The sequence below is a fragment of the Homo sapiens genome, chromosome 1 (genome assembly GCF_000001405.40).
Source record: "Homo sapiens chromosome 1, GRCh38.p14 Primary Assembly".
Lineage (NCBI taxonomy): Eukaryota > Metazoa > Chordata > Mammalia > Primates > Hominidae > Homo > Homo sapiens.
The window spans coordinates 233601520-233618056 of NC_000001.11; the positions used below are offsets into that span (position 1 = coordinate 233601520).

The 16537-nt window shown below is 44.0% G+C and overlaps 1 protein-coding gene across 1 annotated transcript in view, besides 7 other annotated features; it reads left to right on the top strand.

Annotated features, from left to right (window-relative positions):
* Positions 8-509: an enhancer, noted in NCBI's record as "NANOG hESC enhancer chr1:233737273-233737774 (GRCh37/hg19 assembly coordinates)". NCBI's record gives its function as "activates a minimal SCP1, AML or CMV promoter by ChIP-STARR-seq in naive H9 embryonic stem cells {active_cell/tissue: H9 hESC(naive)}" and the evidence as "EXISTENCE:reporter gene assay evidence [ECO:0000049][PMID:30033119]".
* Positions 5931-6050: an enhancer, noted in NCBI's record as "active region_2742". NCBI's record gives its function as "activates an Ori minimal core promoter by ATAC-STARR-seq in GM12878 lymphoblastoid cells {active_cell/tissue: GM12878}" and the evidence as "EXISTENCE:reporter gene assay evidence [ECO:0000049][PMID:35858748]".
* Positions 11713-12365: an enhancer, noted in NCBI's record as "H3K27ac hESC enhancer chr1:233748978-233749630 (GRCh37/hg19 assembly coordinates)". NCBI's record gives its function as "activates a minimal SCP1, AML or CMV promoter by ChIP-STARR-seq in naive H9 embryonic stem cells {active_cell/tissue: H9 hESC(naive)}" and the evidence as "EXISTENCE:reporter gene assay evidence [ECO:0000049][PMID:30033119]".
* Positions 12154-12253: a silencer, noted in NCBI's record as "silent region_1963". NCBI's record gives its function as "represses an Ori minimal core promoter by ATAC-STARR-seq in GM12878 lymphoblastoid cells {active_cell/tissue: GM12878}" and the evidence as "EXISTENCE:reporter gene assay evidence [ECO:0000049][PMID:35858748]".
* Positions 12587-16537, top strand: part of KCNK1 (potassium two pore domain channel subfamily K member 1) — a 58409-nt gene continuing 54458 nt past the window's right edge. The window contains exon 1 of the mRNA NM_002245.4: positions 12587-13007. Coding sequence (NP_002236.1) covers positions 12653-13007 — 355 coding nt within the window. The 5' untranslated portion in view covers positions 12587-12652. The remainder of the gene's footprint in view (positions 13008-16537) is intronic.
* Positions 12614-12683: a silencer, noted in NCBI's record as "silent region_1964". NCBI's record gives its function as "represses an Ori minimal core promoter by ATAC-STARR-seq in GM12878 lymphoblastoid cells {active_cell/tissue: GM12878}" and the evidence as "EXISTENCE:reporter gene assay evidence [ECO:0000049][PMID:35858748]".
* Positions 13024-13083: a silencer, noted in NCBI's record as "silent region_1965". NCBI's record gives its function as "represses an Ori minimal core promoter by ATAC-STARR-seq in GM12878 lymphoblastoid cells {active_cell/tissue: GM12878}" and the evidence as "EXISTENCE:reporter gene assay evidence [ECO:0000049][PMID:35858748]".
* Positions 13554-13613: an enhancer, noted in NCBI's record as "active region_2743". NCBI's record gives its function as "activates an Ori minimal core promoter by ATAC-STARR-seq in GM12878 lymphoblastoid cells {active_cell/tissue: GM12878}" and the evidence as "EXISTENCE:reporter gene assay evidence [ECO:0000049][PMID:35858748]".

Below are 16537 nucleotides of genomic sequence, written 5' to 3' on the forward strand. Positions count from 1 at the left end.
AGAGCATCTTGTAAGAGATTTTCAGCCAAGGAGAAGAGATGGAGAGATAAAAAGGTGCCTCACAAGCAAGAGTCATGATGCCAAATGAATGACCGCCCTAAGCACTGCAGGAGTTGAGGTCAGAAGTGGAAGACATATAGGGAAACTTTCCTGGAGGAGTCAGGAGACTTGGACTGGGGATTACCAGAGAAGAGAAGGACAGTCATTTCAGGCAGAGAGATGCCTCAGCAGGAGGGAGAGTGGGAATGTACATGGAGCTCTTGAAGACAAAGAGGCCATCACTAAGAAGTGCTTGGCCAGAGGATGAAAGACAGCAAAGGCAGAGGGGAAAACAAAGTAAAGCCAGCTTTGCTCCCACTGAATTCTTTTTAATTTTTTTTTTTTTTTTTTTTTTTTCAGATGAAGTCTCGCTCTGTCACCCAGGCTGGAGTGCAATGGCATGATCTTGGCTTACTGCAACCTCTGCCTCTTGGGTTCAAGCGATTCTTCTGCCTCAGCCTTCTGAGCCCGAGTAACTGGGACTACCCTGCCACCACGCCCAGCTAATTTTTGTGTTTTTAGTAGAGACAGGGTTTTCCCATGTTGGCCAGGCTGCTCTCGAACTCCTGAACTCAAGTGATCCGCCCGCCTCAGCCTCCCAAAGTGCTGGGATTACAGGCATGAGCCACCACGCCCGGCGGCTCCCACTGAATTCACACTAAAGAGTCCCCCCACCCCAATTCCCTCTTCCTACTCTTGGCCTCCTCCTGATCCCTCCATGTATTCATTGCACAAATATTTATTTCTTGCCTACTCTGTGACAGGCACCACATACAGTGCTGAGATTCCACACTGGCAAAACAAGGCAGCCCTTCCTGTTTTGTAACTTTACAAGGGAAAAAATTTATAGAGCACTTATTCTGTGTCCAACATTGTGCTAAGTACTTTACAAGCATACCTCGTTTATCTTCCCAATCCTAAATGGTTGGTATGGTTATTATTGGCGTTTTTACAGAAAGAGAAACTAAGGCTTAGAAAGGTTGTTTCATTCTTCAAAGGCTGCACTAAGAGTAGGTGGCTGCAAGCGGTAGTTGAGCCTAAATGATCTGGCTTAGAATGCCAAGTTCTCAGTTTTCATATCAGCCTGTTAATTGTCTACAAAGTTTTGCCATTATCAATTGTCTGTTTATATTCTTCAACCTGTATTATTTGTTAAGGACACAGCAGACATTGATAATTAAATGTCTAATGGAGGAATTTTGCCTTCCACTGGGTTAAATAGAACGCAAAAGATCTTTTTTATACAGCTGACCCTTGAACACCATAAGAGTTGGGGTACTGACCCTTTATGTAGTCAAAAATCTACGTATAACTTTTGACTCCCCCAAAACTTAACTATTAATATCCTGCTGTTGACCAGAAGCCTTACCAATAACACAAAGTCAATTAACACATATTTGGTGTGTTACATGTATTATATACAGTATTTTTACAACAAAATAAGATACAGAAAAAATGTTATTAAGAAAATCATAAGGCAGAGAACATATATTTACTATTCATTAAGTGGGAGTGGATCATTTTCATGTTTAGTAGGCTGAGGAGGAAAAGGAAGAGTTGGTCTTGCTGTCTTACGGGTGGCAGAGGTGGAAGACATGAAGGTGGAAGGGGAGGCAGGAGAGGTAGGAACACTTGGTGTAACTTTATGGAAACGTCTCATAATTTCTCTCTGTCTTTTGCTTTTTTATTTCTCAAAAAGTGATTCTATCGCTTGAACCTGGGAGGGTGAGGTTGCAGTGAGCCGAGATTGTGCCACTGCACTTCAGCCTGGGTGACAGAGCGAGACTCCGCCTAAAAAAAAAAAAGTCTATATGGTATCAATCCTTCTTCTGCCATTTGCTTTAGTTTCAGTGCCCATATCATAGATGGTTCATGTCATACAAGAAGCCAAAAATGGTCTTGAATAATCAGAATGCGCCTGCCAGATTATCTAATGTCAATTTGTTTTCTGGCACTGCACTGTTTTTTCTATGCCTTCTTTCTCATCATCTGGCACTGGTTTGGAAGCATTCATCTGCATCAAGTCATCGTCTGTTAATTCCTCCGGTGTGGTGTCTTTTAGCTCTTGAATTCCTCCAAGACCCACATCTGGAAACCCTTCACCCCTGCCCCCCACCTTTTTGCCATCTCCACAGTCTCTTTTATGATTTTTTTGATTGGCTCTATCATAAATCCTGGGAAGTCATGCTCAATATCTGGACAGTTTTCCCCAGCATAAATGTATTATTTCAGACTTGATGGCTTTTGTGGCTTTTTCTGTAATAACAATGGCATCTCTGATGGTGTAATCCTTCCAGACAGAATAAATGATGTTCTGTCTATCAGGGCTGTCTTCCATAGCATTGACAATCCTTCCATAGAGTACTGTGTATAATGAGCCTTAAAGGTCCTTATGATCCCCTAATCTAGGGACTGAATTAGAGACATTGTGTTTGGGGGCAATTAGACCATTTCAATGGCTGCCATGTTGAATTCAGGGGATTCTGGGTGCCCAGGAACATTGTCCAATATCAAAAGAACTTTAAAATGCAGTCCTTTACTGGCAAGGTACTTCCTGAGTTCAGGGACAGAACTGATAAAACCAATCCAGAAAAAGCATTCCCACTTTTCAGGACTTCTTGTTATATAACCAAAAGACCGGTGACTGGTGTTTATCTTTTCCCTTCAAGGCTCAGGGGCTAGTGCCTTTATAGATAAAGGCAGTCCTGATCATAAACACAATTGTATTTGCACAAAACAGTAGAGTTATCCTATCCCTTCCTGACTTAAATCCTAGTGCCTGCTTCTCTTCTGTACTAATAAATATTCATCCTTTGCGGCATTATTTTTCCCCAGAATAAGGCACTTTTATTTGCATGAAGATCCTGTTTAGGCAGATATCCTTTCTCCTCCATGATTTCCTTACTGGTGTCTGGGAACTTGTCTGCTGTCTCTTGGCTGGTAGAAGCTGCTTCTCCTATTATCCTGACCTTTTTTAAACCGAAACTCTTTCTAAAACTATCAAACCATCCTTTGCTGGCATTAAATTCTCCAGCTTTAGATCCTTCACCTTCCTTTTTATTTAAGTTGTCATATAATAACTTTACTTTTTATTAAGTCATATTAGCCTCTACAGGTATGCCTTTCTTATAACAATCCTGCACCCACAAAAAAGCTGCATCTTCCTTCCTTCCTTCCTTTCTCTCTTTCTTTCTTTTTTGAAACAGGGTCTCACTCTGTCACCCAGGCTGGAGTGCAGTGGCATGATCTCAGCTCACTGCAACCTCTGCCTCCCAGGCTCAAGCGATTCTTTCACCTCAGCCTCTGGAGTAGCTGGGACTACAGGCTTGGCACCATGCTTGGCTAATTTTTGTGGGTTTTTCTGTAGAAAGACTGAGTTTCACCATGTTGCCTAGGCTGGTCTTGAACTCCTGGACTCAAGGGATCCACCTGCCTTGGCCTCCCAAAGTGCCGGGATTACAAGTGTCAGCCACTGCACCCAGCTGCTGCATTTTCAATATAAGATAAAAACATAGTTTGCATAAAATGCAAGATTTTCACACATGGCAGTTTAACTGCAGAAATGGCTTTACAAATTTCTTTTTCTTTTTTTTTACAATGGTTCTCAATGCTTGATTCTTTTATCTTGAAATGGTGGGCAAACACAGCTGCAGATCTCAATCTATGGTACATATTAAGCAATTCAGCTTTTTCTGGTAATATCATGAGTTTTCTCTGCTTCTTGTGAGCACTCCAAGCATCACTAGTGGCACTTTTTATGGGCCCCATGGTGCTAATCAAGGTTTATTATATTGCACTACACATGATGAAAAATATGTGAGACTGTGAGATCACTTTTTACTGCAATATGCCATTTACTGGAGAGATGAACTGCTCACGCAGAGATGATTAGCATCGTATGGCATTTTCAGTGTTTGATACTCCCAACCCTTGAGCTCACTGCAATAGCAACAGGAGGTGGCTATACAATTTTTAACTGCATAAATTTAAGATTTAAACTACAAAATTTTTAATTGCATAAAATTCACTGTAGTGAGTACTACAGTGAATTGTATGAAATTACGATTCAGTACTGCATTTTTACATTTGTTTACATTTCTTTCAATTGCAAATGATGCCATATATGGTCTAAGTATTTGTGTGTGCAACTTTTCATAATTTTTAACTCTTAATATAATAGTTTGTATATATTTTAAGGTAGTAAGTGATAAAATAGACTAGTATCTACATGTGTGTTATGCATTAATAACATACCTAAATTTTTCTTAATTGAAAAATATTTCTAGACTACGCAACTCATCTGTGAGATTTTTCAAATTGCTGCAGTTCTCTGAAAATTTTTCCAATATACTTATTGAAAAATATCTATGTGTAAGTGGACCTGCACAGCTCAAACTCATGTTGTTCAAAGGTCAATCGTATATGGAGAATCCTAAAATCCAATAGAGCAGAATCACTCCGCAAATAAATCATTCCCTGTCTAGAACTCCTTGGGCATGTCCTGTGCTAAAAGCAAATTTCCTCACATTAAATACAATAACAAATATTTAGGTATAAGCACTGGGTGGTTAACCATGGTTCTACAAATACTTCCCACTGAACAATACACTGCTGCCTGAGGGAAGTGTAATTATTGTGAATATTTATTAATTTAAAAATGAAAAATATTTACTGTATACATATCACAGGAAAGAATATTATAGAAAATAAAAAGAACTAAGAGATGCAGTAATTAATTGTACAATTCAGCTTTGTTTATTTTTAATGTTTTTCCTGATTATAAAAACAATATATATCCACCATAGAAAATTTGAAAAATATTAAAAGGTACAGGAAAGGAGAGTCATCTATATACTCTACTGTTACCCAAAGACAACAGCTAGGAGCTAGTTTTATTCCTATGCAGTTGATTAATAATGCGGATATCGTTTAATTTTGTAACAAAATACAAATATTTTACGTATTTGAGATTCTACACAATTTTGCTTCAATAGTCTTTAGACACATCTTTAATGTGTTTCCTCCTAAGAGTGTACAATCCAGTGGAGAGACAATACATTTGCTCATAAAAATAACAGGCTGGGTGCGGTGGCTGAGGCTGAGGTGGGGGCGGGGGGGCAGATCATGAGGTCAGGAGTTCGAGACCAGCCTGGCCAATATGGTGAAACCCCATCTCTCCTAAATATACCAAAATTAGCCGGGTGTGGTGGGACTACAGTGCCTGTAGTCCCAGCTACTCGGGAGGTTGAGGCAGAAGAATCACTTGAACCCAGGAGACGGAGGTTGCAGTGAGCCGAGATCATGCCACTGCACTCCAGCCTGGGCTACAGAGTGAGACTCCATCTCAAATAATAATAATAATAATAATAATAACACTAGGAGGTGCATGTTAGGGACCTAGTGAATAACAACACTAGGAGGTGCATGTTAGGGACCCAGTGACTCAAACAGAGAGCATGTGTAGCATGAATTCAGATGGAGGAGAGATGGGTTTTTGCATGTTTACGTAGTTAAAGGAGGTTACCTGAAGGGCCAATTCGAATGGGATCTTGAAGTAACGGAAAGTTCCAGTGAAAGTGGCACTGAAGAGGGAAGGAACAGAACTGTTCTAGGATCTAAGGGAGTTGCTAATGTAGCAAACTCAAAACTGTATGGAGTGAATGTTTGCAGATCTCATTCAGGCACTAGAATTCAGCAGGAGGAAGTGGTGAATCCCAGTGTCCCCAGATCTGAAAAATTTTTTTCTGAATATGCAGGTTCCTGAAAAGATAAAAAGCTGACCTTCAGCATCAAACTACCCTCTGCTGGCAAGCTTCCTGATGCCACACAGTGCCCTGTGTTTGTGCTGCTGACACGTGTCACATGCAAATACAGTGGTTTATGAAGTGTATTGCCCAGTGTTGTCAAAGAGCTTACAGCTCAGGTGCTGTTCATCCAGGTGTCAGCCCAGTGCCCATAAGACTCAGTGCACAGATAATAACTGGCAGCCAGGGCTAGACTGCTCCAGGAGGCAAAAAAGATCATCCATCTTTTGTGTTCTTTCTCTTTTTCAGCATCAAGGCCACCGCCCCCGATATAGTCATGGTCTGAAATCGTGGGAGCAAACAAGTGTGGGCGAGCCCATTCCAAGCGCTGACACATAGGGCCTGTTTGGGAGAAAGCAATGAGGCAGCTGAGTGAATATTGAGATGACCATCTCACTTCAGCACGGGAGTACTCTGAGGACAGGGAGGGTGGGAGAGTGCATGGCTGGGCTGGGGACACCTTCCAAATATGCATGACAGGACAGAGCAGTGGATGGCATTGGAATACCCTCAGCTCCTCCCCCTGTCATTTGATCTGTTTCTCATCCATCTTTCTTCACTTGCTTCTAGGACAGCCCTTTCTTCTTTTCCTTCCTCTCCTTACCTCTCATACCCATGGAGTATGTGTTGAATGAGACATGAGCAGGGACCAATTATGATTTAACACTCACAGGCAAAGTGTGATTGGAGGGCATGGGTAAGAGACAGTGATGAAGGCAGGAAAATGATAAGCATCACTCAGGCCACCGGTGGTCAGGCCACCATGGGCCTGTGTGGGCAGGAAGAGGATATGAAGGGGCATCATCTGTCACTGCTGCCTCCTGGCAGGCCCTGTCTGGAGGCTGAGCCCTGATCTGCACACCTCAGAGCATAGCCACCTTACCACAATAAGAGGAGTTGGCAACACCCTCAGCCAAAGGTAACAGAGAAGCTGAGCGCCTGCTCCGTCTGTATTCCCTGACAACTGGACGTGGCACCACTGGGGAGTTAGAGATTCAGGGCTAGAACATTCTGGGTATCCCTGCTTGTGAATCCAAAAATTTTCAGAGGCATCTCAGGGTGACTTTTTGCTTCACTTGGTTCATTCTTTCCCTCCTCCTCCCCTTGACCTTATAGATGCTGGAACCATAACATCTCAGACTTGGAAAGAACCTTAAATGACATCGGCTGAATGCTCTTCATTCTACCTCTCTAATTTGTCATTGTTTGCCTTCGGCTTGAACACTCATGAAAGGGAGCTCACTGTTTCTAGAAGCAGCTCATTCCATTGACAGTCAACTCAAATGAATAGAATGTTCTCTCGTACAGTGAATTTTAAATGTTACATTCTGTATCTTCCACCCATTAATCTTAGCACTGCCCTTTGAAGACATACAAAATAAACTCACATTTTTTTTTCCATGTGTAGCTACCAGATCCTCCTAAGTTTTCTCTTCTCAGGGAAAGCACCTGGAATCCTTCAGCCACTTCTCTAAGCAGAATTTCCAGACCCATCACCAGCCATGTGCCTCGCATCTGCGTCTGTGCCAGGTCTTTCAGGTTCTTTGTACTGTGCCCCACCTGAACCACCCAGCACTCTCTGGAAGTGGTGGCTGTCTGCTTCTTCAAGGGCCCCATGTCACAGATAGAGCCTGGGAGCTCATCAGCTGGTGGGAGAGCTTCAGCTTGCTATTAATGCATGTGGCCCCTCTGTCCATCCGAATGCTAACTTTTTTCTTTTTTTAGGATTGCCATAAAATACACATAACATAAAATTTAGCATTTTAACCATTTTTAAGTGTACAATTCAGTGGCATTAAGGACATCCACATTGTTACGCAATCACAACCACCATTTATCTTCAGAATTTTTTCATTTTGAACAATTGAAATTCCATACCCATTAAACAATCAATCCCCCTTCTCTCTTCTTCCAGCCCCTGGCAACCACCATTTCGCTTTCTGTTTCTGTGAATTTCACTACTCTAGGTACACATACCAGTGGAATCATATAGTATTTGTCTTTTTGTGAATGACTTATTTCACTTAGCATAATGTCCTCAAGGTTCATCAAATGTAGAGCAGGTGTCAGAGTTTCTCTCCTTCTTAAGACTGAATACTATATGGCTGTATGTATGTATCATAATTTTTATCCGTTTATCTGCGGATGGACACTTGGGTTGCTTCCACCTTTCAGTTACGGTGAATCATGCTGCTATGAACATGAGTATACAAATATCTGTTCAAGTCCCTGCTTCCAATTATTTTGGGTACATACCCAGAGGTGGAATTGCAAATGCTAACTTTTTGTACTTGTTGCTGATTGACTGGATTTTCCCAACCCTGTATTTGTAAATTTCACTTTTTGATCCCAAGTTCCTATAGAACCACTGTCTCTACAAATTATTCTCATCATCTCAACCTGTTGAGGTCATGAAGCCCATTGATGCCCAAGTATCATACAACACAGTAGTGATCATTTACATCATTAGCTCTACATCAGATTAACTTGCAAGGCTCTGTGCCAAGCCCAGAGTTTGTTTCTCAGAAAGCATGGTCACCAGTCCACAAATTATGTCAGTTAGAGGGGACACTGATGCAGGAAGCAGAAAGAAGCCATGGCCTCTTCCCCCACTCTCTTTACTCCCCCACTCCTACTCCCCTTGATCCCCTCTTTTGTATCTCTGCACTCTTCTCTGAGTTTTCTTCCATATTCCCATTCTCTTCTAAAACATGCTTGGGGATAGCGTGTGGCATGCTAGGTGGGGGTGAGTCAGCAGAAATGTCAGCTTGTATGGTCCCTTTAATCCGTGTTGGGAGGTCCAGAGAGAAGTAGCTAGTCAGCAGTGAGTTACACACAGATCATGTGGAGTAAAGATTTCAAACTTTAGAAGAAAAAATTCTAACATTTCCGAGATTGCTAACTTCTTTGAAGACAGGAGCATCTGTCTAGAGCAGTGGCCCAGGACGAGGAAGGAAGGCAGCCAACCTGTGTTATCAGGATTCCCATCAACTCAGACAGCCAGAACCTCAGAAGTCTTTGCATTTCCCAGCCCCATATCCAGGCTCCACTCAACGTACCTCGTCCTGCAGGATGAGATCTATGCCCCCATCAGACCACTTCCATGATATTTCCAGTTTCTACTTGTAGTCTGAGGATAATATGATTTAAAAATATTTGGTATCCTTGGCCTAGTTGTGATGTAGAGCTGGGGCAGAGTCTCAGCCAGAGAAGTGAACTATGGAGAAAATGGCAAATTTGTCTGAAGAAAACTTCTAATAATAATTTTTAAAATTCAATGTAGTCAAGATGCATGTTGTTCCAGTTATCTATTATTGTATAACAAGCTAGCCAAAAACTCGATGGCTTAAGACAGCCATCTGATGATATCTCAGGATTCAGGCAGAACTCAGCTGGGAGTTCTGTTCCTGGGTAGATAGACAGAGGTAAGACACCCAGTGGTATTCAGCAGGTGGATGCCCTGGTTTGAGAGTTGAAGATGGCTACACTCATCTATCTGGTGTCTTGGCGAGAATGATAAGGAAGCTGGGCTCACTGGGCTGTCCCTTGAAACACCTACATGTGGCCTCTCCAGCATGACAGCCTCAAGTTAATCAGACATCTTATGTGATGGCTCAGGGCTCCAAGAGGGGATTGTTCCAGTGAACAAAGTTGGAGGCTGCTGGTCTTTTATCATCTAACCTTGGAAATTACCTAGTATCATCTCTTATGTACTCTGTCAGTTGAAGTAGTCACAAGTTTCAAGGATAGGGGACAGAAACCCTACCCTTTGGTGAGGGACTGTCAAAGAATTTGCAACCATATTTCAAAGCTGCCATATACATGTTGGGGGAACCAGCCCCACACCAACCGGCGGGTACCCCGAGTCCAGCGGAGACACAGGAGTTAGAAAGAGGCAGAATAAGCATTTAAAAGGTGGGTCCAGGGGACCGTTGTGTAGGAGGCTTGCTCATGGCCCAGAGCTCTTGGGCTCCAACTAATTTATTGTTTTACAAGCTCTTTGTTCTTAGGGCAGATGGGAGGGGGAGGAAGGGATGAGGAAAAGGATTAATCAGTGAAGGAGAACTTGTGAGTCATTCAATAAGATGTACAGCAGTGGTGGTCTCTGTGAATTTCCTTGAGCAAAGGCGTGTGTCTAAACTACTTAAGATTGCGTGTGTCTAAACTACTTAAGATCTTTAACTTATTGGGACTGAAAGGGGTGGGAGCGGGTTTCAGGAGGAGCCAAGATGTTTGATTATACTCCACTGCTTCCAGGGCGTGTTATCTCCCTGAGCAGCCTGTGGAATGCCCCCGAGCAGTTATGCTCTCAGGGCATAAAGACATGAAGGCAATAAGGAGACTTTTCTCCTCAGAGGTCACCCATGGCTCCCCATGGGTGTCTCACACAGGGGAGAACAACTCAACTGGCACTCCAGAAACTCTTTTTCCCACAATACATGTATGTATATTTGAGTGTGATGATATAACCACACCTGCACCTGCAGTTCATCACAAGTACCCCACACAATCTGGCATTCAAAGGGTTGTATGTCTTGGGAAGAGGAACTCACATCCTGTTGGGGAATCACAGGTTTCATGAGTGAGCCAGGTCCTGAAGGATATAAACTGTGTTACAGATGGAGATGGAGGAGGAACTGTCCAAGCAGAAGGAATCAGGTGAGCAGAGACATAGGGAGAAAAATGATCATGACAGGCAGGAGGAGAATTCTGAGGGTCTGCTACGGCCGGGGGTAGCCTCATGAATGAAGAGGTCTCTGAACAGGGCAAATAGGCAAAGATCAAGGATAGGATAGGGCAAGCAAGGGTTACAGAGCAGGACAGGGAAGGACATTGTAGGATGGAGACTTGAGGGAGAAGGAGGAATTCAAGTTCTAAAAGAGTAGGGCACTTGCTGATGGGGAAGGGTTCCCAGAGGCGGAAGGACTGAGAGTGGTAAGTGCTTCCTTTCACCTTGAAAATAAGGAGGTACATTTTTTCCTTAGGGGTAAGAGCAAAGGGAAGAAATGGATTACCGATGAGTAAATTTTGAAGTACAGAGAAGTAAAGTGGAGGGCTGGCTTCAATCTTTTGAGTAACGTAGGAGGTAAGGCTATTGACTAAAAGTGAAAAATCACTGATATATATGTTAGACATTTGCACAAGTTTCTATGAAAATACAAAATATGACTTGTTTAGAGAACTTCAGTAAAGTAGGCAAATGTTCAGCTAGGTGTTGGAATGATTAATTGTACAATTCAGTTTTGTGTATTTTAAATGTTTTTCCTGATTACAAAAATAATATATATCCACTGTAGAAAATTTGAAAAATATTAAAAGGTACAAGAAAGGAAAGTCATCTATATACTCTACTATTACCCAAAGACAACTGCAAGGAGATAGTTTTATTCCTATGCAGTTGATTAATAATGCAGATGTCATTTTATTTTGTAACAAAATACAAATATTTTACATATTTGAGATTCTACACAGTTTTGCTTCAATAGTCTTTAGACACAACTTTAATGTGTTTAATGTCTATATGGTGTCCATGCTGTAGAGATGCCATAACTTATTTAACCATTCTCTATTTTGGAATATTTAGATTGTTCTGAGTCTTCATTATTTCATCTATACCGTGTGTGTGTGTGTGTGTGTGTGTGTGTCCCACATGTGTATGCACTATATTATACAACTACATGTATGTATATATAGATACCGTCTATGACCAGTCTTTGTAAGTAAGTGCCTCTCTGATTGTTTTTTCTTAGGACATATCACTGAATCAGAACAAATAAACCCTTTCAAGGTTCTTGAGACGTGTCGCTAAATTGCCTTTCCAGAAAGGGTGTACCAATTTTTATTTTCATCCACAAGCAGGCGGCTCGCTGACCCTCGCCCACATTTTTGTCACTTTAAAAAGAAGTGACAGTTGGGAAAGCTCAGTTTCTTCTGGCAGTTGACACATTTGGGATGTTTTTTCACCAAAAAACCTAAGGTCATGTTTTAGAAAATTCGAACTCAGAAATAGGACTTCTCTGAGACTCTCCTTTTCCCTCAAGTCCTTTTTGTGAGGGGGATGGGTGGGAGAGAGGAGACTGATTCAAGGAGCCTTCCAACTCTGATGTTCTGGTATTTTCACCGTCATTACTGGCACCAGATTGCTCAATCCTTCGACCAATAAGACAAAGAAGGAAAGTACTTCAGCGCTTGCTGTTTTGTAATACTGGCTTTGATTGGGAGAAAATAAGTGGGAAACAAGAGTAGCTTGGACAGGGGGCTTGGACGGCCAGCGCATTGACCAGAAGCGGCCCACACTACACGCGCGCGAACACACACACACACACACGCACACGCCGCGCGCGGTCAGCTAGAGTTTGGCTACTGGACCCAGGAAGGGAGGGAGCGGGAGGAGCTGGTGGCTGTCGGGTCGGGGTCTGGGCGCCACCGAGCGCCCGCCCCACCTCTGGAGTGCGCAGAAGGCGGTGCGTCCCGGGCCCCGGCAGCCCAGCCCAGGCGCTCTGGCCAAGTTTGCGCGCGGTCTCCGCTGACTCTCGGGTTACCTGAGCCGGCAACCACGTCAGCGCCACATCATCTGGGCTTTTTATATTGCAAGGAAACAGGAAAAGAAGGAAGAAAAACATCGCCCGAGAGAGCCAATCGCAGGAAGACGGCGCTGCCCGGAGGAGCGGGGCGGGCGGGCGCGCGGGGGAGCGGGCGGCGGGCGGGAGCCAGGCCCGGGCGGGGGCGGGGGCGGCGGGGCCAGAAGAGGCGGCGGGCCGCGCTCCGGCCGGTCTGCGGCGTTGGCCTTGGCGGCGGCGGTGGAGAAGATGCTGCAGTCCCTGGCCGGCAGCTCGTGCGTGCGCCTGGTGGAGCGGCACCGCTCGGCCTGGTGCTTCGGCTTCCTGGTGCTGGGCTACTTGCTCTACCTGGTCTTCGGCGCAGTGGTCTTCTCCTCGGTGGAGCTGCCCTATGAGGACCTGCTGCGCCAGGAGCTGCGCAAGCTGAAGCGACGCTTCTTGGAGGAGCACGAGTGCCTGTCTGAGCAGCAGCTGGAGCAGTTCCTGGGCCGGGTGCTGGAGGCCAGCAACTACGGCGTGTCGGTGCTCAGCAACGCCTCGGGCAACTGGAACTGGGACTTCACCTCCGCGCTCTTCTTCGCCAGCACCGTGCTCTCCACCACAGGTAGGGTATCCTGCGCGCCCCCTGGCCGCCCCGGCCACCTCGCCCACAACCCACACACCCCGGCCCCGGCGCCCCGGGCCCCTCTAACCCTCCCACCCCACCCCCCACCTTTCGCCATCCCGGCTCCTCCAGCCCGCCTCCCCTCACTGTCCTCCCGACCCTCCGACCTTCCCCTTACTGGCGTCCCCGGCCTCTGCCTGGGTGACTCGGGAGGGCAAGCCCTGCGGAGCCGGAAGCCAGAGAGGTGACTCCAGACGTGACTTGGTTGTTGCCGTCCGTAACTCTGGGGAAGTGGTCCCTAACTTCGGCCTGGGTGGCTGCAGGTGCTTCCTCCCCTTGAGTTCTTTTTTCGCAACCCACTAAGCCAAACTGTCGGGTTTGAATGTGTAGCAGCACCTGGCCGCCGTGCGGCAAGGCAGCGGGATGATGGAAACTCACCACCTTCCTCCCGCACCCATCCCAGAGGCCGAGGCTGCAGTCTGGTAATAATACCTTCTAAAGGGTCACCTTCCGGAGTGTGCCGTCCCTTTGGACCATGCACAGATATTCCAGCTCTTTTGTACCTTGGAGGCAGTTTTGGGGGTAGCCGAGTGACATCACTCTGCTCTTCCCAGGTGACCTCTGGGCGGACAGGCCGATCCGGTTTCTTTTCAGAGTAGGAGGAAGGGTGAGGGAGAGTAAAGGAACCATAGGATTGCCTAAGATCTGACTTAATTGGGGCACCCTGATTCAGCAGTTCCTTCAACTTGAGGTGTGCGAGGCTCCCCATAAACTTCGAAGCGCCACGTCCCCGTACGACTCACCCGCGGGGCGCCCGGCCATGGAGGAGCCTCCTCAGGTGAAAGATGAGGCCGGGCGCATGCCCCAGGGCTCGGTCACTGTGCCAGATCAGATGAATGAAGGCCGAATTTCCCCAGCCGGACCTAGTAAGGCACATACCCAGAGTGGAGATATCAATTGGTATTTGGACAGTGGGAGGAATCTGAAAGAGCGTTCAGCACAGTCCCTTCTTTTGATCTATGAGATCCAATCTTTGAAATAATCCATCTCGTCATGCACAAGGTCACACACTTCCTAGTTACCAGTGTCGTCCTGGAACCTGGGCCTTGTGATTTCTCTGCCAGGACCACTTTGTAACCCCCCACCCTCAACCTTTACAGGTGAATCACATCCCTTTGTGTGACTCCCAACTCTTCCTTCCTCCCCACCCCCCTCCACCACCCAAATTATTGTGTATAATTCCCTTTGGGCTATATCTTGTTGACTATCTTGGTAATTACTTGGTAATGAGTAATAATACACTATTCATGTAGATCACATGAAACAATTATTCAGAGGTCTGGGGTGAATTACTAAACTGATGTAAATCTACCCTGAAATAAACAGAAGTGGAATTCTAGCTTGTATTGTGAGATCTAAAAAACTGTTAAATGTAGCGCTAGACAAGACAGACCTGTTATCTCACTTTCCAAAGAATGCCTGTTCCCTTGCCAATACAATTTAATTTTTCTTTCCATAACTCTGCCTCCATTGTCTTTACCTAGTCCTCTGTTCCTCAGATCATTTAGGAGTCACCATGCCTTTCCTTTGGAGTATATTTGTGCTATATTGAGAGTCATTCATTCTTCCCAGAAGTAAGTGTTTCCATGGGGCTACAGAAAGTTTACAACTGGGTCACAATGTTGGGTAAACATTTCGAAGGATGCTTATAGCGTGTGGTGTTTTCTTACTAATGATATTGTGAGGATAGAACAAGAATAAGAACAGTTTTGAGGAAAAAGGTTTGCTTTTATCTGGGTGGGATTTTTCGTGACTCATGTATAGTCTTAACATCATATTGTCTAATTAAATGTTAAAAATTAGTTTATAATCTTGAATAGATGAAATATTCTTCCCAGAGGAGAATTAGAAAAAGGGATAGTTTCTGTTTAAGAAAGGGGTGGGGTGGGAATAGACGTCTTATTATTGGTATTCAGATTGCTTTGTAGTTCCTAAGAAAGTCTGTATTCATGCAAAACAAGTGTTCATTTAAGAAATCAGTGCAAGGGGCACTTAAGGATAAACTAAATGAAAAAGGTGCCTCTTGGTTTGTAAAGTTAGCACATCAATGAATTCTTGTTATATGAATACAACTATTCTAAATGAAAAGTACTCTTCTGTTGGCTTTGTACTGCCCCATTATTTGACACATTTGATATTTCTTAAGGTTTCAAAATTATAATTACCCATTATTTGATTCATTTGATGTTTTTTAAAGTCTTCAAATTATCATAGGTGCCCTGGCCATGAATCTTATAATGGGTGAGAAATCTTTTCTTCCCTACAAGGGGAAATAAAGAGATGTTAAATTGTGTGCTGGAAACAAACAATATTTTAAATCACTTGCTGGAAGCAGACAATTTTTTAGAGTAAAGCTGATGTGCTTCATTACTAGGAAAATATTTTCTGGAAAAGCGCCAACCAAATAAAATGAGTTGCAATCGCTTTTCGTTTTTTGGGTGGATATTAGACATGTTGTGCTTTTTTTTTTTCTTTTCTTAACACTTCTAGTCCTTTTGAAGGCAAATCACTGAGATAATTGTTACCTAATTAATCAGTACAGTCAATCCTTGACTTATTCAGAATGCTAACAATGAGCATTACAAAGATGCTGTTATTGGTAGTCATTGTTGTAACACAGGCCCATGAGTGCTTTTATGTCAGAATCTTCTCACCCCAGAATGTACAAACTTCCGTTTCTGGAAGGAACTGAGTAAAGTCTTCATGGTCTACTTGGAAGAAGGCTTAGGTTGGTAATTCAGCAATAGTCTTCTCATTCTGTGCTTTGCCAAAGACTCTGAATTATTTCCAGCAAACAATTTAACATCTCTTTATTTCCCTTTGTAGGAAAGAAAAGATTTCTCACCCATCATAAGGTTCATGGCCGGGGAACTTATAATAAAATGCAAATTAACAAGATAAAAGCACACACATTTAGTTAATATAAGTTTTAGATGACATAGACGCCTTTAGAAATGAAGACCCCAAGAAACAGGGAAGTTTATGTATTTTTAGGACAGTTGTGTAGACGAATGATTGGAGAACAAAAGGATATGATCTGACTGAGCACGGTGGCTCACACAGGTACTCCCAGCATTTTGGGAGGCCAGGGTGGAAGGATTGCTGGAGCTCAGGAGTTCAAGACTGCAGTGAGCTATGATTGCACCATTGCACTCTAGCCTAGGCAACAGAGTGAGACCTCATCTCTACTAAAAGTTAACAAAATTAGCCCGGAGTGATGGCGTGTGCCTGTAGTCCCAGCTACCTAGAAGGCTGAGGCATTGAGTCTAGGAGTTTGAGGCTGCAGTGAGCTGTGATTGAGCCACTGTGTTCCAGCCTGGACAACAGAGCAAGACTCTGTCTTGGAGGGGGAAAAAAAAAGAACAAAGAGGATATGATCTAAAAAGCTAAATAACTGGAGGAATTTAGCAAGGCCTATTTGTTCAGATTTTTCTTGGAATCTCTGTGTCTTCAAAGATAGAGCATTCCTT